Source organism: Homo sapiens, chromosome 19 (assembly GCF_000001405.40).
Source record: "Homo sapiens chromosome 19, GRCh38.p14 Primary Assembly".
Taxonomy (NCBI): domain Eukaryota; kingdom Metazoa; phylum Chordata; class Mammalia; order Primates; family Hominidae; genus Homo; species Homo sapiens.
This window is the reverse complement of record NC_000019.10, coordinates 50,795,331-50,818,940: the sequence shown is the minus strand read 5'-3', so window position 1 is coordinate 50,818,940 and position 23,610 is coordinate 50,795,331. Positions and strand designations below refer to the sequence as shown.

The 23,610-nt window shown below is 52.6% G+C and overlaps 3 non-coding genes and 2 pseudogenes across 17 annotated transcripts, besides 7 other annotated features; 4 read left to right on the top strand and 1 right to left on the bottom strand.

Annotated features, from left to right (window-relative positions):
• Positions 63-14,040, bottom strand: TMEM277P (transmembrane protein 277, pseudogene; annotated as a pseudogene). Of its 4 annotated transcripts, NR_197389.1 has the most exons (6): positions 13,833-14,040; positions 13,333-13,454; positions 9,971-10,067; positions 1,411-1,557; positions 904-996; positions 63-806 (listed from the first exon to the last, which is right to left on the bottom strand). The product of NR_197389.1 is annotated as a transmembrane protein 277, pseudogene, transcript variant 2 (transcript). The 4 variants fall into 4 exon arrangements; NR_197390.1 differs by lacking the exon at positions 13,333-13,454 and having other exon boundaries at positions 904-1,033; NR_197391.1 differs by lacking the exon at positions 13,333-13,454 and having other exon boundaries at positions 63-714; positions 904-1,033.
• Positions 1,200-1,429: an enhancer, noted in NCBI's record as "active region_15001". NCBI's record gives its function as "activates an Ori minimal core promoter by ATAC-STARR-seq in GM12878 lymphoblastoid cells {active_cell/tissue: GM12878}" and the evidence as "EXISTENCE:reporter gene assay evidence [ECO:0000049][PMID:35858748]".
• Positions 1,510-1,569: an enhancer, noted in NCBI's record as "active region_15000". NCBI's record gives its function as "activates an Ori minimal core promoter by ATAC-STARR-seq in GM12878 lymphoblastoid cells {active_cell/tissue: GM12878}" and the evidence as "EXISTENCE:reporter gene assay evidence [ECO:0000049][PMID:35858748]".
• Positions 13,718-13,767: a silencer, noted in NCBI's record as "silent region_10979". NCBI's record gives its function as "represses an Ori minimal core promoter by ATAC-STARR-seq in GM12878 lymphoblastoid cells {active_cell/tissue: GM12878}" and the evidence as "EXISTENCE:reporter gene assay evidence [ECO:0000049][PMID:35858748]".
• Positions 14,018-14,267: an enhancer, noted in NCBI's record as "active region_14999". NCBI's record gives its function as "activates an Ori minimal core promoter by ATAC-STARR-seq in GM12878 lymphoblastoid cells {active_cell/tissue: GM12878}" and the evidence as "EXISTENCE:reporter gene assay evidence [ECO:0000049][PMID:35858748]".
• C19orf48P (chromosome 19 open reading frame 48, pseudogene) lies at positions 14,347-21,237 on the top strand (annotated as a pseudogene). Of its 10 annotated transcripts, NR_171556.1 has the most exons (6): positions 14,347-14,369; positions 15,067-15,388; positions 16,327-16,487; positions 16,684-16,724; positions 19,584-19,669; positions 19,983-21,237. The product of NR_171556.1 is annotated as a chromosome 19 open reading frame 48, pseudogene, transcript variant 3 (transcript). The 10 variants fall into 10 exon arrangements; NR_171562.1 differs by lacking the exon at positions 15,067-15,388 and having other exon boundaries at positions 19,584-19,647; positions 20,017-21,237; NR_171554.1 differs by lacking the exon at positions 15,067-15,388 and having other exon boundaries at positions 19,584-19,647.
• Positions 16,420-16,920: an enhancer, noted in NCBI's record as "H3K4me1 hESC enhancer chr19:51305278-51305778 (GRCh37/hg19 assembly coordinates)". NCBI's record gives its function as "activates a minimal SCP1, AML or CMV promoter by ChIP-STARR-seq in naive H9 embryonic stem cells {active_cell/tissue: H9 hESC(naive)}" and the evidence as "EXISTENCE:reporter gene assay evidence [ECO:0000049][PMID:30033119]".
• SNORD88C (small nucleolar RNA, C/D box 88C) lies at positions 16,520-16,616 on the top strand. Its single transcript, NR_003069.1, has one exon. It is a non-coding gene; the product is annotated as a small nucleolar RNA, C/D box 88C (small nucleolar RNA).
• SNORD88A (small nucleolar RNA, C/D box 88A) lies at positions 19,406-19,502 on the top strand. Its single transcript, NR_003067.1, has one exon. It is a non-coding gene; the product is annotated as a small nucleolar RNA, C/D box 88A (small nucleolar RNA).
• On the top strand, positions 19,816-19,912 carry SNORD88B (small nucleolar RNA, C/D box 88B). Its single transcript, NR_003068.1, has one exon. It is a non-coding gene; the product is annotated as a small nucleolar RNA, C/D box 88B (small nucleolar RNA).
• Positions 21,837-21,956: an enhancer, noted in NCBI's record as "active region_14998". NCBI's record gives its function as "activates an Ori minimal core promoter by ATAC-STARR-seq in GM12878 lymphoblastoid cells {active_cell/tissue: GM12878}" and the evidence as "EXISTENCE:reporter gene assay evidence [ECO:0000049][PMID:35858748]".
• Positions 23,537-23,596: a silencer, noted in NCBI's record as "silent region_10978". NCBI's record gives its function as "represses an Ori minimal core promoter by ATAC-STARR-seq in GM12878 lymphoblastoid cells {active_cell/tissue: GM12878}" and the evidence as "EXISTENCE:reporter gene assay evidence [ECO:0000049][PMID:35858748]".

The following is a 23,610-nucleotide window of genomic DNA, read 5'->3' as shown; positions in this document are numbered from 1 at the left end:
GAACAGTTCACTCACACTAGGATGGACCCTGCCCTGGTGGGGAGGTGGGGGGCAATGGAAGGTCTGAGGCTGAGAGGTTTTATTGTGGCGGGGAAGCCAGAAAAGGTACAGAGGGATGTTATTGCAAGCCATGCCTTCCCAGGGAGGGGCCCGTTCTGCAGAAGGGTGGAGTTGCACCAAATGCTGGGCGGTGCTGTGTCCACCTGGGGACAAGGGTGGACATCGGAGCTGAGGCCGGAACTCCGGGAAAGAAGTTCCATGCAGACCACCCTGGCTGGGCACCAGGGGCAGGGCCACACAAACTAGCCACACTGCCGAGCTCAGCGGGACGCTGGACAAGTGTCTGCAGAACGGGAGGGGATGCTGGGCCTCTGGGGTGGAGGTACTGTGAGGACCCAGTGGGCAGGGACAAAGCCGCAAAGGGCGGGCCCTAGAGCGAGGGCTGGAGTTTGCCACCGGTCCCCTCGGAGGGCGTGGCCTGATATCAGGGGGTGGGGCCTCAGGGGAGGTCGAATATCCAGGGCGTGGCCACGCTGAAGGGGTTGGCCGGGCATCTGGCCATGGCTACCGGTCGGTGTCCTGAAGACCTCGGGTGCTATTCCTTGGAGGTGCTTGGGTCTCATCCTCGAGGGTGTATGAAATGGGAAGGCCCGGGGTGCGCTCGGAGTCAGCGTCTGAGTTCCGCTGTTTGGATGTCCGCCTCGCTGCGCCCTGCTGCACGGCCCACCCGCGGTAGCTCAGCCGCCGCGCATTCAAGGGCTGCCCTCTGCTTCACATGCCCACTGGGCTTAGGTAGGACACGGCTCCTGGGAGATGGCTAGGTGGGCCGCTGTACTCCGAGTCCCACCCTAGGCCCCACCCGCTTCCCGAGGCCCCGCCCTCCTCCCGAGGCCCCGCCCTCACCGGAGTGCAGCATCAAGTCGCTGGCGTCCCAGCACAGGTAGGAGGTCACCAGGTAGGACACCACCGGACTTGGGTGCACCGCCTTGCCGTTAACTGAAAAGAGCGTCAGGCTGAAGAGAAATCAGGAGCCCTGCAATGGGGTGGGGCCAGAGACAGAAGGCTGGACAGTGAGCCCTATGACCCCCAGTAAGAAAAGAGGGACTGAGACATCCTCTCCCACCCTCCGTGACAAGCAGACACACACACACACACACACACACACACACACACGCCCTCACAACAGACAGAAAGATACCTGGAGAGAGGGGACAAAAAAAGAAAGGGAAACAGAGAGTGGGGGAGAGAGAGACATCCCACAGATAGAGTAGAACTGAGTCAGAGCTCCCCAGAGACATGCTAAGACAGAGGCCCCGAGGGGAGCAGCACGGAAGTCTAGATACACCTCCAGAAAGCCAGAGAGCAGGGCTGGGGTTAGGGAGGGCCCCCGCCCCCCAAGCCAACACCTACCAATGCCGAGGCAGAGGAAACTGAAGACAAAGTCGGCCATGTTCAGGCGGAGGACCACTGGCCAGGAGGAGAGGGCCATGGGCGGGAGGAGGACTCAGCACAGGGCCACGGCCAGTAACATGAAGCCCTTGCTCATATGGATGAGAACTGGGGAGAGGGGGACAGGGGCCCCAGAGTCAACCCCAGATACCCCTCTTGGTCACCCTCCAAAGTCATCTCTGCTGATACCCACAAGCAGCCCAACAGACAACCCCAAAGTCTGGCACATCCTCAAAATCACCCCTACTCACCTCCCCAAAGTCACCTCCTAGAAACCCCAAAGAAACTCCAATCTCACTCACAAGGTCACCCCCAGGGACCCCTAAAGTCATCCCCCAGTCACACCCTTAGAGTTGTCCCAAATCACCCCTACTTAACCTAAAACTCAATTCTCAGACACTCTCATAATCCCACACACCCCCCAAGGTCACCCCACAGAGGACCCCCCAAAGGTCATCCCACTCATCCTCAAGGTTACCCCACAGAATCACCTCAATCATTTCTTTCTTTCTTCTTCTTTTTTTTTTTTTTTTTTTAAGATGGAGTCTTGCTCTGTTGCCCAGGCTGGAGTGCAGTGGTGTGATCTCGGCTCACTCCAACCTCTGCCTTTGGGCTCAAGCAATTCTCCTGCCTCAGCCTCCCGATTAGCTGATACTACACGCAGCTGCTGCCACGCCAGCCTAATTTTTGTATTTTTAGTAGAGACATGGTTTCACCATGTTGGCCAGGCTGGTCTCAAACTCCTGACCTCAGGTGATCGGCTTCCCAAAGTGCTGGGATTACAAGCGTGAGCCACTGAGCCCAGCCTCGATCATTTCTAGAACCACCCCCACAGACACCCCTGGTCACCCTACTTGAACTCCTAAAAGGTGTCTCATAACAACTCATGTTAGTATCCTCAGTTTCACTCCCAGACACCCTCAACAGCACCCTCAAAGTTATCCAAGACACCACGGTCACCCCAGTCCTCTCCAAAGTCACCCTACTTCTGCTCTAGTCTCTGCTAGTCACCCCCCAAGGTCCCCTAGTGGCCCCATTCACATGCCGAGAATCTCCTCAGACATCCTAATGTCATCTCTTGTTCACACCTGAGAGCCCCCACAAAACACATACAGATTTGCACACAAGAAAAACTTTCAAGTCAAATACTCTAAAACCAATGTGCCCAAAAGCTTAGTTCCAGTTTACAGTGGATATTTATCCAACTTAGACTTCCAGCAGAAGAGAGGTTTACCTGTTTCCGAGATGCTACATCTCCTCCTTTTAGCCCTTTTTCTACTTTGTCTACTTTTCAACAGTGCAAAATTGTTTTAGCCAAATAGGCCAAGACCTCATCTGCTTTGTTTCTGGCAAACTGCACATCTCTAATACCCAACAAGAAAGATAAAGGATCATCATATATACAGAAGAGCAACAGCACTCTGGGAAGTGGGGGAAATATCAGACCCCTTGGTTTTTTGTTTTTGTTTTGTTTTGTTCATAGAGATGGGGTCTCACTGTTACCCAGGCTGGTCTCAGATTACTGAGCTCAAGCAATCCTCCCTCCTTGGCCTCTCAAAGTGCTGGGATTACACGTGTGAGCCACCATGCCCAGCCAGTTCCCTTAGTTCTTTCTGCTCATTGAAGAGTCAAGAAGCAGAGGTCAGGGAGAAGGCACCAAGCCAGAAACCAAGACCTTGAATGGTGAATTTGGTCTGCCCAGAACAGCAGCCTGACATCTCTTGGGGACACCCTCCACCCAACTCACATAACCCTGGATGAGGGATTCTCCTGGCATATGCTGGCCTCTGGGCCACAGAGGTAATCATGTGATTCTGGCTGAGCCAATCACAGTACCCCAGCTGCAGACCCTGCAATTGGCCCAAAGATGGACACATGACCAAAGCCCAACCAATCAAGCTCTGCCCCAAGACTTTTTATTAGGAAGCTGTCAAGGAAAAGCAGTCTCTCCTCAAGGATTACAAGCCTGAAGCTGCCTAAGCCTTGGACCTAGCTTCATGGGGAGAGTAAAACTAAGAAGGAAAACAGACAAGCGAAAGAGCATTGAGCTGACACTGAAGTCCCTGGCTCTCGTCATCCCAGAGAGCAGCCCACTCTGTGATTTGGTCAGAATGAGTGGATATTTGCAGCTTACCTCCCCACCATGCATTTCACCTCCTGCCCATTCCCCATTCTCAGCCCCAGTCTTAAGCCAATCAGCCAACTGTACTCCACTGGCCATATAATTGGCTCGGGGTGCTCATGTGCCCCAAGCCACACAGGATTCTTGCAAGAACTGTTGATAACTTTTTTCTACCGGACTCGGCAGTTATTACCAACTCTGCCAAGTTGCTAACAACTCTGCCAGTTTTTTGTCTGTCTGCTCTCAGATCCATTTCCCGCCCTGTCCTGTTCTGCACTGCAAGGACCACATTTCCCAGCCTCCTTTGCTCACCATCTTATCACTGTGTTTGACTAATGGGAGGCACTGGCAGAAGACTGGTTCTGGGAGGAGAGGGCAAGCCAGGGTATTTATTAGCCTCTCTATCTCTGCATGTGGTGGGTCTTCCGTAGTAGTTGTATCTATTCTCTGATTCTAGCCACTTCTGAGCAATCCAACCATGAACCTATGCGTTCCAGAGGGCTGCAGTTTCTGGACTGTAGTAATACCACCTCCTCCCTTTGTCCTTCTGGCCAAGTAGCAGCATCCTGTAGTTCCTAACTCCTGGTTTGCCTCACTATTTCCTATTGGCTTCTCAGCTCCTCTGTTACTCACGAACAAATTCCCTGTATTTACTTCCTTCTGAAGAATCTGGAATGATTTATTTTCCTTACTGGATTCTGACTTGCCACTACACAGAGCCTTGAGAATGAAGCCAATCCCATAGCCAAAAAACAGTAATATCTGATACTATCACTTGGGCCCCTGGATCCACCCATGCCTGAAGGCATTCCTACCATTACCATTTTTCACTCAGGTGATCCCATAAAGGATCCCCTAGCTAGTTCAAGTTAGTTCACTCAAGCTAATACAACTAGTTCACTCAAGCTAGTTCAAGTTAGAGTTTGTGTCACTTGTGGCTGGGCACGATGGCTCACACCTGTAATCCCAGCACTTTGGGAGGCCGAGGCAGGTGGATCACCTGAGGTCAGGAGTTTGAGACCAGCCTGGCCAACATGGTGAAACTCCGTCTCTACTAAAAAGATAAAAGTTAGCCGGGCATGGCAGCGGGCGCCTGTAATCCCAGCTACTCCGGAGGCTGAGGCAGGAGAATCGCTCAAACCCGGGGGGTGAAGGTTGCAGTGAACCAAGATCACGCCACTGCACTCCAGCCTGGGTGAAAGAGTGAAACTCCATCTCAAATTTAAAAAAGTAAAAAATAAAAAAAATTTAAAAAAAAAGAGTTTGTGTCACTTGTGACCCAAAAACTCCTGACTAATTCAAGTCCCTTCCTTAGGACAGCAGGGAGCACAGAATTCAATGTTCCCTGCATACCAACTCCAAAATCACAATCAAAACCTAAAAATAAGTAATGAGAATTTAAAAAAACAGAACTGAATGTTCATCAAAAATCTGGAGGGAGAACCTCCCGAAGCCAAGAAGCAATTAATAAAGTCACAGAGACAAAGGTGAAGAAATTAAACTACCTAAAAATTCTAAGGCTGGGCACAGTGGCTCATGCCTGTAATCCCAGCTCTTTGGGAGGCTGGGGTGGGCAGATTGCTTGAGCTTACAAGTTCGAGACCAGCCTGGGAAACATGGCAAAACTCTACCTCTACCAAAAAATACAAAATTATAGCTAGGAATAGTAGCACTCCCCTGTAGTCCCAACTACGTGGGAGGCAGAGGTGAGAGGATGGCTTGAACCTGGGAGGCGGAGGTTGCAGTGAGCCGAGATCTCATGCCACTGCACTCCAGCCTGGGTGATAGAGCCAGACTTTGTCTCAGAAAAAAAAAAAAAAATTCTAGATTTCTATACCTTAAAAAATAATAATAAGGGCCAGGCGCAGTGGCTTATGCCTGTAATCCCAGAACTTTGGGAGGCTGAGGCAGGTGGATCACCTGAGGTTAAGAGTTCGAGACCCGCCTGACCAACATGGTGAAACCCCATCTGTGCTAAAATTACAAAAAAATTAGCCAGGCACGGTGGTGCCAATTACCTACAATTCCCGGGTCAGTATCCAAGACCCTCCACCAGCCAGGAACAGTCACGGGGTCAGTATCCAACAGCCTCCACCAGCCAGCAGCAATCGCCTGGTCAGTATCCAAGACCCCTTGCCAATTATTCACAATCACCAGGTCAGTATCCAAGACCCTACACCAGCTATCAGCAGTCAACAGATCAGTATCCCAGAAACACCAGCCATTACCTACAGCCACGATTTCAGTATGCGAGGTGCTTCACCAATTTTCCAAACTCGCTGCTTCAGTATCCAAGGCTCTCACCCCCTGACTAATCATCAATTATCCCCAGCAACAAAGATCATGACCAAAACTACCTGTCAACAACCGAGACTGCCCATTTAAGTGTTCCAACCCCCAACTTCCAAGCCTGGGCCATTGTCAATGTGCTCCCATCACTTACCTACGGCCCCGAGCCCAGTATCAAAAGCATTGAATCAGTTACCTGGGAGTCCCAGGAGAGTCTGAAGGCAAGTGTGCTCAGCTCTGAACTCAACCAAAGTCCTCTAGACAACATGCAAAACCTCTCATTGTGCAGCTCCATTGAGATCAATTCTGGCAGGTATGAGGCAGTGCCCAGGCCGGAGGCCAAGTTCTGAGCTAGACTTCTGGGGGAGGAGAAGCAGTGCTGTGACATCTCCTGCCTGCATGAGCACAGCCAGGATGCTTGGAAGGCCTGCCCTGCCCTCACCACTCCTGGGACCCATCGCTCCACTTTATCCCAGGGACCCCTCCACCTGTCACAGAATGGTTTCTTCCTTTCCTGCAATGATCTTCACAGGTATTTTATGAGTCTCACGGCCCCAGGGTGGTCCTCCCAGCCACAGGATGATCCTCACTGACTGAAATGATCCTCACTGACTGAGATGGTCCTTACTGCCCCAGGATGGTCCTCACAGCACTGGGATGGTCCTCATTGTCATAGGATAGTCCCTACTGCCCCAGGATAATCCTCACTGCCCTGGGATAGTCCTCACAGCTCTAGAATGGTCCTCACTGCTCCGGGATAGTCCTCACTGCCCTGGGATACTCCTCACTGCTCTCGAATGATTCTCACTGCCCTGGGATAGTACTCACTGGTCCAGGATGGTCCTCACTGCCCTGGAATAATCCTCACTGCCCCAGAATTATCCTCACCACCCTGGGATGGTCCTCATTGCCTGAGATGGCCCTTACTTCCATGGGATGGTCCTCCCTGCCTGGGATGGTCCTCACTCCCTGGGATGGTCCTCCCTGCCTGGGATGGTCCTCCCTGCCTGAGATGGTCCTCACTGCCTGGGACGGCCCTCCCTGCCTGGGACGGCCCTCCCTGCCTGAGATGGTCCTCCCTGCCTGGGATGGTCCTCCCTGCCTGGGATGGTCCTCCCTGCCTGAGATGATCCTCCCTGCCTGGGATGGTCCTCCCTGCCTGAGATGATCCTCCCTGCCTGGGATGATCCTCCCTGCCTGAGATGATCCTCCCTGCCTGAGATGGTCCTCCCTGCCTGAGATGGTCCTCCCTGCCTGGGATGGTCCTCCCTGCCTGAGATGGTCCTCACTGCCTGGGATGGTCGTCACTCCCTGGGATGGTCCTCACTGCCTGGGATGGTCCTCACTCCCTGGGATGGTCCTCACTGACTGGGATGGTCCTCACTCCCTGGGATGGTCCTCCCTGCCTGAGATGGTCCTCCCTGCCTGAGATGGTCCTCACTGCCTGGGATGGTCCTCACTGCCTGGGATGGTCTTCCCTGCCTGAGATGGTCCTCACTGCCTGGGATGATCCTCCCTGCCTGGGATGGTCCTCCCTGCCTGAGATGGTCCTCACTGCCTGGGATGGTCGTCACTCCCTGGGATAGTCCTCACTCTCTCGGATGGTCCTCAATGACTGGGACGGTCCTCACTGCCTCAGAGGGTTCTCACTGCCCTAGGATTGTCCTCACAGCCCTAGAGTGGTCCTCACTTCTGGGAATGCTCCTCACTGCCCACCCCACTTCTCACTGCCCAAGAAGCTGCCCTCACCAACCTAGAGGTAGATCCTCAGTGCTGGAAGTATCAGTCTCAATGTCTCTTCTCTGGAGCCCAATTTAAATTTTCCTAAAATGAGAATAAATAATTTGCAAGGGAGGAGCTTTGAGAATACTCCCACACCAACTGGTGACCCTTGTCCCCATACTCAGAGCCTGGGCCAATCATGGTGTTCCTGATTATCTTCCTTCCCCAGACTTGCTGGACCTTTCCTGGGCCTTCCTCCTCTTCTCCAGCATCACCAGCTTCTGCCTTTGCATAGCCCTAATAAGCACCATCCTCTTTACCGGCTCCAACCCGTCCATGCTGGATTTCTTCACCTTCATCACCAGCATCCTGACAGGCATGGCACTTCCCTCAGGAACCAAGGCGAGGAGTACCTCCTCCAGTGCCAATCATGAAACCCAATCCCATCCCCACCACACTCCAATCCCATCCCCATCCTGACCATCATCCGCAATCCCAACCCCATCTCCTTCCAAATCTCTAACCCATTCCCATAAAAAACATCAACCACCAGCCCAACCCTATCTCCAGCCCCAATACCAGCCTCCACTTCAAGTCCCATCTCCATCACCAACAAATCTCAAACTCATTCACATCCCTTTCCCTCATGCCCCTACTCCATCCCAATTCTACATTCTTTCCAATCACCAAACCATCCTCATTACCATCCGCAACCTCTTCAAACATCTCAACAACCAACTTTGCAGCATCCCAACCATCCTCAACATATGTTTCAAATGCAACCCAATTCTATCACCTGTGAACTTCAATGCCAAACTCAATCTAGTCCATTCCCCACTCCATCCTCTTACCCATATCCAATCCATTTTCATCCCCAACCATGACCTATCCTCATCCACAACCCACTCCCATCACAACTTACCCCCAACCACCACCCATCCCCACCACAACCCTTCCCCACCACAATTCACTCCAACCACAACCAACCCAAACCACAACCATCCCATCCACAACCCACCCCCAACCATAACCTATCCCCACAACAATCCACTTCCAACCATAACCCATCCCCATCCTCATCCCCAACCACAACCCATCCCCATCCCAACCCACCCCCAACCAGACCATCCCTGTTCCAACCCATCCTCAACCACAAACTACCCCATTTCAACCCATCCTTACCCCTAACCATAACCCACCCCCAACCACAACCCACCCCAACTACGACCCACCTTCAACCACAACCCATCCCAACTGCAACCTATTCCTGACACCACTCTCAACCTCGTCCTCTAACACTCAAACTTCAACCTCTACCCAATACCCAATCCTATTTCCCATTCTAACCTCATCCCAAATCCTGTCCCATCAGCAGCAGCAGCTCTGTGATTTTGTTCAAGCTACTTCATCTCTCCAAGCCACAGTTTTCTCATCTGTAGGATCAGGACAAAATTTGCTACCACATGGAAACGTACTGAGGATTGAATTAGAAATGTCAGTACTTGGCCGAGTGCAGTGGCTCACACCAGCACTTTGGGAGGCCAAGGTGGGTGGGTCATGAGGTCAGGAGTTCGAGACCAGCCTGGCCAACATAGTGAAACCCCATCTCTACTAAAAATACAAAAATTAGCCAGGCGTGGTGACGCACGCTTGTAGTCCCAGCTACTTGGGAGACTGAGGCAGGAGAATTGCTTGAACCTGGGAGGCGGAGGTTGTGGTGAGCCAAGATCACGCCACTGCACTCCAGCCTGGGCAACAGATTGAGACTCTGTCTCAAAAAAAAAAAAAAAAAAAAGCATTTATGCAGTTTATCTAGTAGCTCTTCCTAATTGTTTAAATATAAAGTACAAGGTATAGAATATTGCGCAAAAAAAGCATGAGTTTTCTAAAAACTATAAAAAACACCTTCGTTTTAAACCATCTATAACAGAACATTTTTCTATAAGAAAACCATTTCTGTCTATTCCTCCTTTTAATTAAACAAAAAATACCTTCTATATTATTTTCAATAACATCAGACAAAACTACCCAGTACTCCACTGTCCAGGGGAAAAAGTCTTTTCCTATTCACAAATTATCTTTAATTCATGTCATTCCAATATATCCAGAATGACCAAGTTCCTTGTCTATTGCTTCTGAAGCCCTAAATTAAAGACCCAATAGAATGAAAATAATCAATCCCAATCCCTAAGGGCTTGCTGTGTATCAGGAAATGTGCCAACCTCAGTAACTCCTCATGACGGCCCAAGGAGATGGGTCCTATGATTGTGCCCACTCTACAGATGAGGAAACTGAGGCTCAGAGATATGGCATGGCTGCCCTAAGTCCAGAGGTGGAGGCAGGGAAGATCCCTGCTGTTGGCCTCAAAACCTGTGGTTACAGACTTACCATTGCCTGGTTAAAGCCCAAGGCTTGCCCTTTCAGTGTCCTCTAGCAGGACTTGGTCAGAAGCCCATCTTCATGCTTAGGAGCAAAGGTACAGGGTCTGGGAGGTTAAAGAAAGTGGGGAAATAATGAGCCAGAGCCAGGCAGCCACATGACTATGGGAAGGAGTCCTTACATATCTGATTCTCAGCCTCCTAACACCTGTGCTCATGCAGGAACCAGCATCGTACTGGGTATCCTGTTCTACCTGCTGCAGGCCCACAGGTACCTGCAGGAAGGCATGACCTACCAGCTGGCACTCAGCTTCTACCTGACCTGGGCCAGTGTCTTCCTCTTCCTGATGACTGGTATGGGAGAGGATGAGGTTGGCTTTGGGTATGGGTTCAGGGATGCAGACAGGAATAGCATTTGGGATAGCATTTGGGACGGGGTGGGGTTGTGGACAGGGCTAGATAGGAAGTGACTGAAGTGGGAGGCGGGATTGGGGATGCACATGGGGCTGGATAATGGGGATGGGACTGGGTTGGAGTTTGCGTATGGGTTAGGGACAGTGTAGGGGATGAAGGTGAGTTTCGGTTTGGAGATGGGTTTGGGAATAGGTTAGGGTATGGAATGGAATTGGTGATGGGTTTAAGAATAGGTTTGGGGATGGGGTTTGATGCAGAGCAGGGCATGCAATTGGGCCTGGGGACAGGACTGTGATTGGGATTGGGTGGGTGAACTCTGTGTCTCATCTCCTGTGCCCTCTTCCTCTCCACAAGGCTTCTTGTCCTATCTGAATTACATGTACTTCTGGTCTATCCTGGCGCTCCAGCCCATCCGGACCTAAGACACGCGAATGATCTCACCGCTGGCCTGCTCCAACAGCTCTCTGCCAAGTGTCTGACAACCCTGCTCTCTGGCCCCTAACCCCACGCTGACAACCCTGCTCTCTGGCCCCTAACCCCATGAAGACTCATCTTTTTTCAGTCTCTTCTGACCCGCCTCAATCCAGATTAATAATCTTTCTTTTAAAATAATCTGTATTTTCTGCCCAGAATATTCTTTAATTTAGCTCTGAGCCTTGGAAGCATTGGTGGAACTGAAACCCCTCTCTGGGGCCATCTTTGGGCCCTCTGGGGTAGAGGGATAGGGAAGGGAAGGGACTCATAAGTAAGGGACTCAAGGCACAAGGTCAACAAAGAGGCCGAGCCAATGGTCCCTGGCATACAGATAGTGCTTAATCAGTGTTTGCCGAATATCTCATTCTCCCCAAGCCCTTTTAGCTTCATCCTTTATTTTTGCAGTCCTTAATAATTTACCCTTCCGGAAGCAAATTCCCCCTGCACCCACACTTCACCTCCTACGCTTAACAGTAGCTCTTACCACCACCCCGTCTTTCTTTTCCCCAGAGTCCCCCAGCACAAGGCTGTGTAATGGCCCTTTGAAGATGGTTTGGGGCTAACAGAGAGCCATTTCCTGGACAGGGCAGAGTTGAAAGCCAAGTACAAAGTCATATCATTGTCCTACAGGGCCTTGGCCTGGGGCTGCCATCTATCTCCCTCTCATACAGTGGCTAAGCTGCCTGGTTTTGAGTCCAGGCTCTGTCACTAGTAGCTCTGTGACCACAGGCAAGGTGTAGAACCCATCTGTAAAATGAGGATAATAATAGTACTTTAATCTAGATAGGATTTAGCACAATGCCTGGTCCATAGTGTGTGCTCTTTCTGTACTATTGCAATAATCCTCCCCCTTGTCTCCTGCAAAAGGCTCCCAAATTTATTCATTTACTTACTTAATTTTGAGATAGGGTCTCTCTCTGTCACGCAGGCTGGAGTACAGTGGTGCAACAGCTCATTGCAGCCTCAACCTCCTGTGCTCAAGCAATCCTCCCACCTCAGCCTCCTGAGTAGCTGGCTCCACAGGCATGTGACACCATGCCTGGCTAACTTTAAATTTTTTTTCTAGAGATGGGGTCTATGTTGCTCAGTCTGGTCTCAAACTTCTGGGCTCAAGTCAGTCTCCTGCCTCAGCCTCCCAAAGTGCTGGGATTATAGGGTTAAACCACCACTCCTCGCTGCAAATTTCATCTTTAAACACAGATGGAGCTGCAACCATATGCTAGACACTGGATGTATAGCACTGATCAAACTAGACACGAATCCTTATCTTTATGGAATTGACATTCAGCAAGGCAGCAAAATATGTCCATAAACAAGTAGTTAGAGCCGGGCATGGTGGCTCACACCTGTAATCCCAGCACTTTGTGAGGCTGAGGTGGGTAGATGGCTTGAGCCCAGGAGTTCAAGACCAGCCTAGGTAACAAGGCGAAACCTTGTCTCTACAAAAAATACAGAAATTATCTGGGCGTGGTGGTGTCCTCTTGTAGTCTTAGCTACATGAAGGCTGAGGCAGGTGGATTGATTGAGCCTGAGAAGTCAAGGCTGCAGTGAGCCATGACTATGCCACTGCATTCCAGCCTGGGTGACAGAGCGAGATGCTGTCTCAAAAAATAAAATAAAATAAAGCAGACAATAGGTTAGAGGTAAATGTTATGACGAAAAATATAGGAGGGTAGGTGAGATGGGATTCGGAACAAGAGAGCCTCACAGTCATATAAAGTGGAGGCAAGGAGGTCAGGAGACTCCATTCCAGGATGACATCTGAGCAGAGATAGGACCAAGGGAGGCAGAAAGCCATGTAGATGGGGGAAAAGAGTTCCAGGCAGAGAGGACAGTACATGCAAAGTCCCTGAAGTAGAAACGTCCTTGGCAGGTTCCAGGAGCACCAGGGAGGCCAAAGGAGAGGAAAGAGATGCAGGCTGAGAGGGGACAGGGGCCAGATCACTAAGGGCTGTGTGGGTCACAGCGAGGACTTTGCTTTTATGCTAAAGTGAGGCAGCAGCCAGTGACATAAACGTCTCTCATTGCCTTAAGAGAGGAATGTAGGTCTCTTCTTTTACTCCAGACCACAAGGTTCATGAAAGGAATCTCCTCACTAGAAAGAAGAAAACAACCCAAATGACCAGGGACCCGCTAAACAAAGCGTGTTCAATTCACACAAAGGAGCCCGTTGCCATTGTTCAGTGAATGAGATAATTCTGTACGTACTCATGTGGGGAAACAACTTATGGGACAGATTAGAGTGGAAAAAAGTATCTTTATCCATAATATGTGTGTGTGTGTGTGTGTGTGTGTGTGTGTATATATATATAAAGTCCATACCAGGCCAGGCGTGGTGGCTCACACCTGTAATCCCAGTGCTTTGGGAGGTTTGAGGCAGGCAGATCACTTGAGGTCAGGAGTTCGAGACCAGCCTGGCCAATATGGTGAAACCCTGTCTCTACTAAACATGCAAAAAAATTAGCTGGGCGTGGTGATAGGCACCTGTAATCCCAGCTACTCGGGAGGCTGAGGCACGAGAATTGCTTGAACTCGGGAAGCGGAGGATGAAGTGAGCTGAGATCACACCACTGGACTCCAGCCTGGGCGACAGAGCAAGACTCCATCTGAAAAAAGAAAACATAAAGTCCACACCAAATTGTTGACAGTGAAACTCCTAGAAAGTGAGTTTGGAGTAGAGAAGTTTCATTTTTTAATTTTCAAAATAATCATATAAGTGGAAAGAATGTATAATCCTATCAGTGGAAAGACACTCCTGAGATCTCCAACCCTACCAAGAATCCAGGCCCCCAGGCCTTAGACCGTCAAAACTGAGTGGGAGCCCCAAAGGCCTCCCTCGGCCCCAGGAGTCCCAGCTCCCAACCCCCTTTTCTCCCAAACACGGGAATCACGACCCCAGCCCCTCCTCCCTCAGACCCAGGGGTCCAGGCCCCCATCTCCCGCTTCTCCAGACACAGGGTCCCTCCTTCCGGCCCTTGCGTCACCGTGTAGGCTCCGCCTCTAATTCTGCGCCACGTGGGCGCTTTCCCAGGACGGCCCCCTGTCAATCTCCACACTGGCCCCGCCTCCAGCCCAGTGGCTGGGACTTAATTTGGGTCCGGCCCTTCGGCTTGGGCCCCGCCTCTGCAGCCTCACTCAGCTCAAGCCCCTGCCGCGCAAATAGTCCCAGCGGATTCTCTCTCGTGTCGGGCCGCCCTCGGGGTCCTTTCTCTTCACGGCCCATCTTTGATGCTGTCTTCAGAATTGCCGGACGCAGGGGACAAGACAATCGTTTCCATCATATCCTTGCCCCTTTTTGTCAGCCCCAGAGACAGCGTCTCCTCGCTTGTTCAGGAAGATTCTAGCGGAAGCAGGCAGTATTCCTTTCCCTAAGCATGAAATGGGGTTTCCCAAACAGGCGTGTGTATTGGACGCCTCGGGCGGAGCGCGGGCTGGCGCCGAGGACCGGCCTTGCGAGCGGCGCGCACTATAAAATGGCGCGTGCTGCAACCCGCGCCCGCTTCGGAGAGAGAAATGCTGGGGTGAGGTTCTTAAGTTTATTACTTTTTCCGGCTGTGTGGAAAGACGCACGTGTCCTGAAGGGTTCGAGGCTGCGACGGGAGCGGCCATGTAGTCGCGTGGAAAGGGTCAGGGCGTTTGCAAGGACCCAGAGAGCGCCCTCCGGGGCGAGCCTGGGAGTTTTCTGCGGGGATGGTGGTGGCTGTTTGGGCCGCCTGGGAGTTTGCGACTCCTATAGCTGGCGCGAGCGGGGATGCTGGGGCGGACCCCCCTCCGTCTGCCCCGCGGCGGAGCTCGCCCCTTGTGCTGCCCGCACGCCGCGGGCCTCCGCCATCTTGTCGATTTGGTTGGGGGAGAGGGGTGGGCGGGCTGGGAGGCGACATTGAGTTCTTTCCGAGTGTTTCCATTTTCGTGCTACCTACAGGTGCTTCCTTAGGAATTCTCTCTTGCTTTTAAAATTCTGGATGGCTGGCATTTTTGTGCAACCTAGAACAAAGACTGGGGGACGGGAGAGGGTTTTGGGGGGTTCCATGGGGGCACAGATAGGGTATCGAGTTACCAAAGAAGTGAGAGTGAAGTTTCTAGGTGAATTGCCGGGTTTGAGAGTCGTGTAGGAATGGATATAGAAGGAAGCAAACGAGGCCTTTGCTTACCTGCGGGAGTCGTTCTGACCGTTCATGCCACGTGAGAGGGTTTTGTTAACGTTAGTTTTTGGCTTAGGTCCTTTAAGGTCTTGAACATCGGTTTCCTGACTTGAGCGGGGCCCATGCCCCTGCCGAGGAGGCTCAGCCTGGAAGCAGCTAGCCCATTTCCTATCTCCCCCACCACGACCCCAGCAAGGATCTCTACTTGACTTACCTCCTTCAGGCAACCACCTAGAAAATCGTTGAGTTTGTTCATGTCACAAGTGAAAGTATTTTTTCATGCATTCATCGTTGGCACGTCGTCCTTTGGCAATATTAAAATCTACCAACAAATGGGAAAAGTTAACATTTGCACCATCTTGCCATATTCAAAAACCTTGTGCTTAAGTGTTTTGAAAGTAAGTTTCATGGCCGAACGCGGTGGCTCATGCCTGTTATCCCAGCACTTTGGGAGGCCGAGGTGGGTGGGTCGCTTGACCCTAGGAGTTCAAGACCAGCCTGAGCAACATGGCAAAACCCCATTTCTACAAAAAAATAGTAAAGTGAGCCAAGCGTGGTGGTGCGGGCCTGTAGTCCCAGCTACTTATGAAGGAAGTGGGAGAATGCCTTTAGCCAAGATCGCGCCACTGCACTCCAGCCTGGGCAACAGAGCAGACTCTTACTTGAAAGAAAGGTTCATATTTCACTCAAAATAGTGTACTTGTGTACCTACAGTAACATTTTTCTACTTAATGTTATTAGCATTGTCACCCTTAATACTGCAATTTAACAATCTGCTTTGTGCCTGTTGTTCCTCAGTCATCTTCGAAATGTCTTTTACAGCTGATATGTTCAAACCTGACTCAGTCGAGGGTCTCTCCTCATTATTATTTACAAGTTGGCTTTGTTTCTTCTTCCTTCTCTCAATAAGTTCTTCCAGGGGATTTGTGTCTTGGCAGCTTTCTCTGTTTATGGGTTATGTGCAGATGTAGGCAGTGCTAAAGAAACCTGCAAACAGTGGGGGATGAACACCGGGGACATCTTCATGTAGTGCATTTGGGGTCCTACCCATCCCATGAGGACAGTCCCCCGAGGACCTGTGACACTGGGGAGGTTGGGGCATCTTGGTGTCTCCATGAGCAAAACTGGTCATTCCTACCTTCTGGATGAGTTTTGCATTTCCTACTCTTTTTGAGACAAGTCTTGCTCTGTCGCCCAGGTTGGAGTGCAGTGGCACGACTTGGCTCACTGCAACCTCCGCCTCCTGGGTTCAAGCAATTCTCCTGCCTCAGCCTCCCGAGTAGCTGAGATTACAGGCATTCTCCACCACGCCTGGCTAATTTTGTATTTTCAATAGAGACAGGGTTTCACCATATTGGCCAGGCTGGTCTCGAACTCCTGACTTCGTGATCTGCCCACCTCGGCTTCCCAAAGTGCTGAGGTTGCAGGCGTGAGCCACCGTGCCCGGCCGCGTTTCCTACTCTTTAAGCTCTGTTAGCTTGGCCTCTGTCCCTGAAGGTAAGTGGCCTCAGGACCTGGTTGCAGAGGGGCTGGGGCTCCCATGATGTCCAGCACTGGGCTCTGATCACCCCTGAGGACACAGTGCACCCCAGGACCTTTGACACCTGGGGGTCTGAGGGGCCCCAGTTTTAATGGCTTGTGGACTTGCAGACTGTTTCCTCCCCCACTCTCACTGTGTCTTTCTGTGTTACAGGTGCAGCTTCAAGCTTAGGACCACCCACCATGCCTATCCAGGTAAGAACCCTTGCTCCTGCTCCTTCACTCACCTGGGTTTAAAATATCTCACTGTCTAGGTTGACTTCATACCGTACCTCTAGAAACTGATTGATGTGCCAATGATTGTACTCAGTGTTTACATACAAAAACCATCTCAGGCTGGGCGCAGTGGCTTACACCTGTAATTCCAGCACTTTGGGAGGCTGAGGTAGGTGGATTACCTGAGGTCAGGAGTTCGAGACCAGCCCAGCCAACATGGTGAAACCCCGTCTCTACTAAAAATACAAAAAATTAGGCCGGGCACAGTGGCTCACGCCTGTAATCCCAGCACTTTGGGAAGCCGAGGCAGGTGGATCATGAGGTCAGGGGTTCAAGACCAGCCTGACCAACATGGTGAAAACCCCCATCTCTACTAAAAATACAAAAAATAGCTGGGCGTGGTGGCGGGTGCCTGTAATCCCAGCTACTCAGGAGGCTGAGGCAGGAGAATTGCTTGAACCCGTGAGGCAGAGGTTGCAGTGAGCCGAGATTGTGCCACTGCACTCCAGCCTGGGCAACAGAGCAAGACTGTGTCTCAAAAAAAAAAAAAAATTTAGCCAGGCGTGGTGGCACATGCCTGTAATCCCAGCTATTCAGGAAGCTAAGGCAGGAGAATCACTTGAACCCGGGAAGCAGAGGTTGCAGTGAGCCAAGATTGTACCATTGCACTTCAGCCTGGACAACAAGAGTGAAACTCCCATCTCAAAAAAAAAAACACCCATCTCACAACTATGGAAAACTTGGCAGGCAGGCCTGGGTCCAAACCCCAGCTCTGCTGTTTACAGGCTTGGAGACATTCACCAGGCCATCACTCTTTTGCGCCTCACTGCTGTGTCTGTGGAACAGGCACCGAGCAAATGGCCCGGGGCACTAGCGCTTCCCGCCTTCTGAAGGTGGGGCTTGAATAAGAAGAGGAATGCGTGGACTGGAGGGAACAAGCATTTGCGTTTCAGGGGAAAGAACTAATCAAACATGTCAAAACTCAGCAGTGGAAAAGAGACAGTAACTACCAGGTGATTCTGTCACGTTACTTCATGGGTTTTGTAGGCTGAATGCAATGTGTCTTTAAGCACAGCTTAGCCTGCAGTGAACCGTTTATATATAAACTGATAGAATTCAGGGAACTCCTATTTTCACAATAAAAATAACAGGCTTTATCAGGAGAATTGTTTCAAAGAGCAAAATCAGACAAGCATGAGTGTGTGTTATCAGAAAAGAGACAGGTGTTCTCAGCTCTGGGAAGATTTTCATTTGTTCCTTAGGTGTCAGGAGCTGGAACCGTGGCTGCAGCGAAATAGAACTGAAAGTGTGTTCTCCGGGTTCTTGGAGGTTTCAGCTATTTCTGGCAGGGAAGCTGGCTTTTGGGCAGGGTTGGCTGGGATTGCAGTTCCCCTGAGTATCTTTCTGAGGGTCCTGTGCTTTTTTTTTTTTTTTTTTTTTTGAGAGGGAGTCTTGCTCTGTCGCCTGGACTGGAGTATAGTGATGCGATCTCGGCTCACTGCAAGCTCCACCTCCCAGGTTCACGCCATTCTCCTGCCTCAGCCTCCCGAGTAGCTGGGACTACAGGCGCCTGCCACCACGCCCGGCTAATTTTTTTTTTTTTTTTTTTGTATTTTTAGTAGAAGTGGGGTTTCACTGTGTTAGCCAGGGTGTTCTTGATCTCCTGTCCTCGTGATCCACCCGCCTCAGCCTCCCAAAGTGCTGGGATTACACGCGTGAGCCACCATGCCCGGCCGGGTCCTGTGCTCTTAATCCGAGATCCTCTGTGGGGTAGTGAATGGAGCTGAGCGTTTGTCATGGCTGGCTTAGAGGGGATTCTTGGGGACATGAGTGGTGTCGGTGCCAGTTGGGTAGGGATGTGTGAGAGGTGAGACGACAGAGCTGATGCGGGATAGGGAGACAGAAGGGACACGTAGCATTTGTGGATTCTGGGCCGGCGCCTTCCTTACGACTGTCCAGATAGAAATGTTCCTCGCCTTGTCCAGTCTGGCAGCCACTGGCCACGGGTGGCTCTTGGACACCTGGAATGTGGCTAGTTTGTGGCTGGGGGCTGGGTTTTTAATTTTCCTTGATTAGTTTAAACAAGGACCCCCCTCTTCCTACAAAGCATATTTCTATGCAAAATGGGGCTTTTGGTGTTTCTGAGGTTGTTAAACAGCAGCACCCACTGAGCGAGCACCCACAGTGTTAGTGCTTTTGCGGAGAATAAACTGAACTTATCCTGCCAGGGTCCCAGTGAGAGGCAGCTGCCCCTTCCCCATGTCACAGAAGGTTCTGGTGAAGTCAGAGCAGCTTAGAAGAGCTGGGCCGGGGGCAGCAGAGGCGATTGAGGGGTATCCCGTTAGGCATGGGAGGCCCAAGCAGAAGGGTTTGGCCCCGTCCTCTCACTGAACCCCACAGATGTGCCTGTCTGCAGGCATCTCTAGTCCCGTTTTCCAGAGAAACACTGCTGCTGGGGGGCGGGGAGGGGTGAGGTCAGTGGGCCTAGATCATACAAGGAGCCATACCCAGGCTGAGCTGGATGGGGAGGGGAGGTAGCCTGGCACCCCCAGGGACCAAGTGTCATTCAGTTTGTTGCCTGATCTCTCAGCACTCTTCTGTGATGTCCCCCTTAGGACAGTAGGTGGTCCTGGGACCCACATCAGGAGGGGGTGAGGGCACCGGGGCCTCCATGATGTCCAGCACTGGGCTCCGACTGCCACTGAGGACACGGTGCCCCCCGGGACCTTTGACACCCGGGGGTCTGAGGGGCCCTGGCTCTGGGGAGGGCTGGTGGGTATCTTGGCTGCCCTGCACCCCACTGACCTTCTCCCCTCCCCTGTGCCCTCCTGCCTCCAGGTGCTGAAGGGCCTGACCATCACTCATTAAGAACAGAGGAGGCTGCCTGTTACTCCTGGTGTTGGTGAGAAGGCAGATGTAGACAGGTGCCCAGCAAGTGCTGAGCCAGGCGCTGCCCTAAGCACTGGGCTCATTAACCTTAGTAACCCTGTTGGGGGGCGGAGGTGGGATGGGGGCTGGGGCTGGGTTGCAGTGAGATGTCCAGTGTCCAGGGTTCTTGAAAGGGCTGCACTTGGGGACCCCGTGATGTCCAGCACTGGGCTCTGACTGCCCCTGAGGACACGGTGCACCCCGGGACCTTTGACATCCGGGGTTCTGAGGGGCCCCACTCCGGGAGGTGATGGTGGGGGTGTGGCTGTTTCCCCCATTCGTGCCTTTTCTGTGTCCTTCCCCTGACAGCATCCCTCCAGACACTCTGCTGTTTCCTGCCTAGGCGTGGCTGCAGCCATGGCTAGGAAAGCGCTGCCACCCACCCACCTGGGCCAGAGCTGGTTCTGCTCCTGCTGCAGGGACACTGAGCTGGCTATCTCGGCGCTTCGGGCAAGAACTGCAACAGGCTCTCCTGGGTCCTGCAGGTGTACAGCCGGGCCCCTGCCTTGTGCCTCAGCTCTCGAGAGCTGCTGCTGCCGGGTGACCTGATCCAACCTGATAAGGTGCCATCTTCAGCTACCACTGCAAGGCCCTGAGGGCAACAGCAGCACGGCACTGCCCACCCGGCTGCTGATGGCCTGGTGCCAGCTGGGAGTCCTCCCGGCACTTCGAGGCCACTGAGCCACCCTTCCAGCCCCAGCCCACCATGGACAGGGGTATCCAGCTTCCTCCTCAACCTCGTCCTCTGCCCCTGAGCCAGTGACGCCCAAGGACATGCCTGTTACCCAGGTCCTGTACCAGCACTAGCTGGTCAAGGGCATGACAGTGCTGGAGGCCGTCTTGGAGATCCAGGCCATCACTGGCAGCAGGCTGCTCTCCATGGTGCCAGGGCCCGCCAGGCCACCAGGCTCATGCTGGGACCCAACCCAGTGCACAAGGACTTGGCTGCTGAGCCACACACCCAGGAGAAGGTGGATAAGTGGGCTACCAAGGGCTTCCTGCAGGCTAGGGGAGGAGCCACCCCCGCTTCCCTATTGTGACCAGGCCTATGGGGAGGAGCTGTCCATACGCCACCGTGAGACCTGGGCCTGGCTCTCAAGGACAGACACCGCCTGGCCTGGTGCTCCAGGGGTGAAGCAGGCCAGAATCCTGGGGGAGCTGCTCCTGGTTTGAGCTGCATTCAGGAAGTGCGGGACATGGTAGGGGAGGCAAAAAGCCTTGGGCACTACCCTCCCTGTGGAGCTGTTCGGTGTCCGTCGAGCTAGCCACACCCTGACACCATGTTCAAGGGTACCGGAAGAGAAGGGTGTCTGCCCCCAACCTCCCCTGTGGGTGTCACTGGCCAGATGTCATGAGGGAAGCAGGCCTTGTGAGTGGACACTGACCATGAGTCCCTGGGGGGAGTGATCCCCCAGGCATCGTGTGCCATGTTGCACTTCTGCCCAGGCAGCAGGGTGGGTGGGTACCATGGGTGCCCACCCCTCCACCACATGGGGCCCCAAAGCACTGCAGGCCAAGCAGGGCAACCCCACACCCTTGACATAAAAGCATCTTGAAGCTTTTACTCCGTTTTTATAAGGATTGGTTTGTTTTGTGTTTTTGAGACTGTTTTGCTCTTGATGCCCAGGCTGGAGTGCAATGGCGCAATCTCAGCTCACTGTAACCGCCACCTCCTGGGTCCAGGTGATTCTCCTGCCTCAGCCTCCGGAGTAGCTGGGATTACAGGCACCTGCCACCACGCCTGGCTAGTTTTGTATTTTCAGTAGAGATGAGGTTTCACCATTGTTGGCCATGGTGGTCTCAAACTTATGACCTCAGGTGATCCGCCCACCTCGGCCTCCCAAAGTGCTGGGATTACAGGTGTGAGCCACCATGCCTGGCCTGTCACGGGTTTTCTCTTAAGGTCTCTGTTGCTATGCCTTCTCTGAAAGCGTGCATTGGCTGTGTGCTGTGGGCAGCCAGTCCCTTCTGATGGGTCTGCTTTTGCTGTGTGTGGCTTCTGTGTTGGTCTGGGTTTAGGGTGTGCTGGGGCCGGAATCTCAGGTGACAGCTCTGTGAGGACTCACTGAGCCCTAGCAGTTCTGACCTCACAGCTGAGGCCTTGGGCACAGGGGCCCCTGTTAAACAGCGGACAGAACACTCCAAACTCTGGTGCTTCATCCTCTGTGGGTTCAGCTGCTGAGCTGCGTCCAGGGGGAGCCACCCAGGCCTCTGCCCACTAGCAGGCCCCCAGCTCTGAACAGGTCCTTCCAGCAGGCTGCTGGGAAAGGGTGGGCTCTTGCCACCAGGTGGGAGTTGGTCACAGCCACAGGTAACCCCACCTGGCACTTGGGGTCTCCATGAACCTGCAAGGAAGCCAGGCTCCCTCCCAGGGCCAGAAAGTGTGAGGGGTGTTCATTCCTCAGCCTTCCCAGGGTCGTGGCTCCTGGCATCCATCTGGGGTGGCCCATGACCACCCAGCTCCTCTAGGGAATGCCGGGTAGGGCAGTGAGGCAGGTCTGGGGACTCCCCAGGGATGAGTCTGCATGAGAGGCTGCCCTCAGCACCCTGGGAAGAAATGGGCTAGGGCAGTATGCAGGTGGCCCTTGTGTGGAGGAAGGGTTGTCCCAGCTTCCACTCCCTGGCGTTTCTGGATCCTGTGCCTTTTTTAGGTCCTGGGTCACTGGGAATGGCTTTGAACCTTTCTCCGACTGCCCCATCTAATGGGGGCCAAGTGGCTGTTATTAAGCATCCACTGTACCAGGGCTCCCTACGGGTTCCCTGGTTAGACAGTGCCACACAGCCATGGGTGTGGGGCAAGGCCTGGGAGGGGCGGGCGCTCTGCTCTAGGCCACACTATGGGAGCCTCCCCTTGGGGGGCCAGGGGCTCAAAGGGCACCCGTGCAGGTGCTCCACAGCGCCTGCTGCTGCATGAGTGTGGGAGGAGTAGCTCTCATCAGCATCTGAGAAATGATTGCAGTGGTGGATGTGTGGCCCATGTGATGGTTGGGAGCTGAACACTCCATTTTATTTAACCTAAATTTAAATAGCCATACATGGTCATGGCTACTGTATTGGCCAGCGCCTCCACATTACTTGTAGCAGTTACAGTGCACAGCCGAGAGTGTCATCGGTTTTCCCTGCTCTCTACCTGTCCCTAGGAAGTTAATTTTTGGAGTTGTGGAGTCCACTGGGTTAGAGTCGTGGTTCTGCCAAGTGAGACACATCAGGGCCTATCACTTGCCCAGAGGCGCACAGCCTCGGAAACCAGGCTTTGAATCGTGCACCTTTCTCAGGTCTGCTGCCAGATCCCTCTGACTCTACCCAAGTTCATGGTTGCATTGAGAGCTATGGAGGTCACCAAATAACCAGACTTGAGGGTCCAACTCCTGTGAGCCTGGTCTCCACAGAGCACATGGTCCACATTGAGGCTCACTGAGTAAGGCCTTGTCACAAGCTGCAAGTGGAGGTACGTACAGGGTCCACCATGTCCTCAGCCAGCCTACCTGCTTCCAGTGCTCATATGGAAAGGTGCATAAACATACCACCTGGGTGTGGTGGCTCACACCTGTAATCCCAGTGCTTTGGGAGGCCATGGCAGGAGGATTGCTTGAGGCCAGGAATTTGAGACCAACCTGGCCAACATACCAAGAAAACAAAATTAACCAGGCATTGTGCACGCCTGTAGAAGCTGAAACAGGAGGGTCACTTGAGACAGGAGTTCAAAGCTGCAGTGAGCTATGCTCATGCCAGTACTCCAGCCTGGGCCACAAAGACCTTGTCTCTACAAGAAAAGTGCCATGCAGGCATGCCTGCTTGTTCAGACATGGGTACATTTGTGCTTGAATGTGTGTCACAGACATGTTTTTTACCAGCATGTACGTACAGACCACCTGTGCACGCGTCTAAGTGCAGAAACTGTTCACACATGTGACACGTATGCATGCACACTCATGCC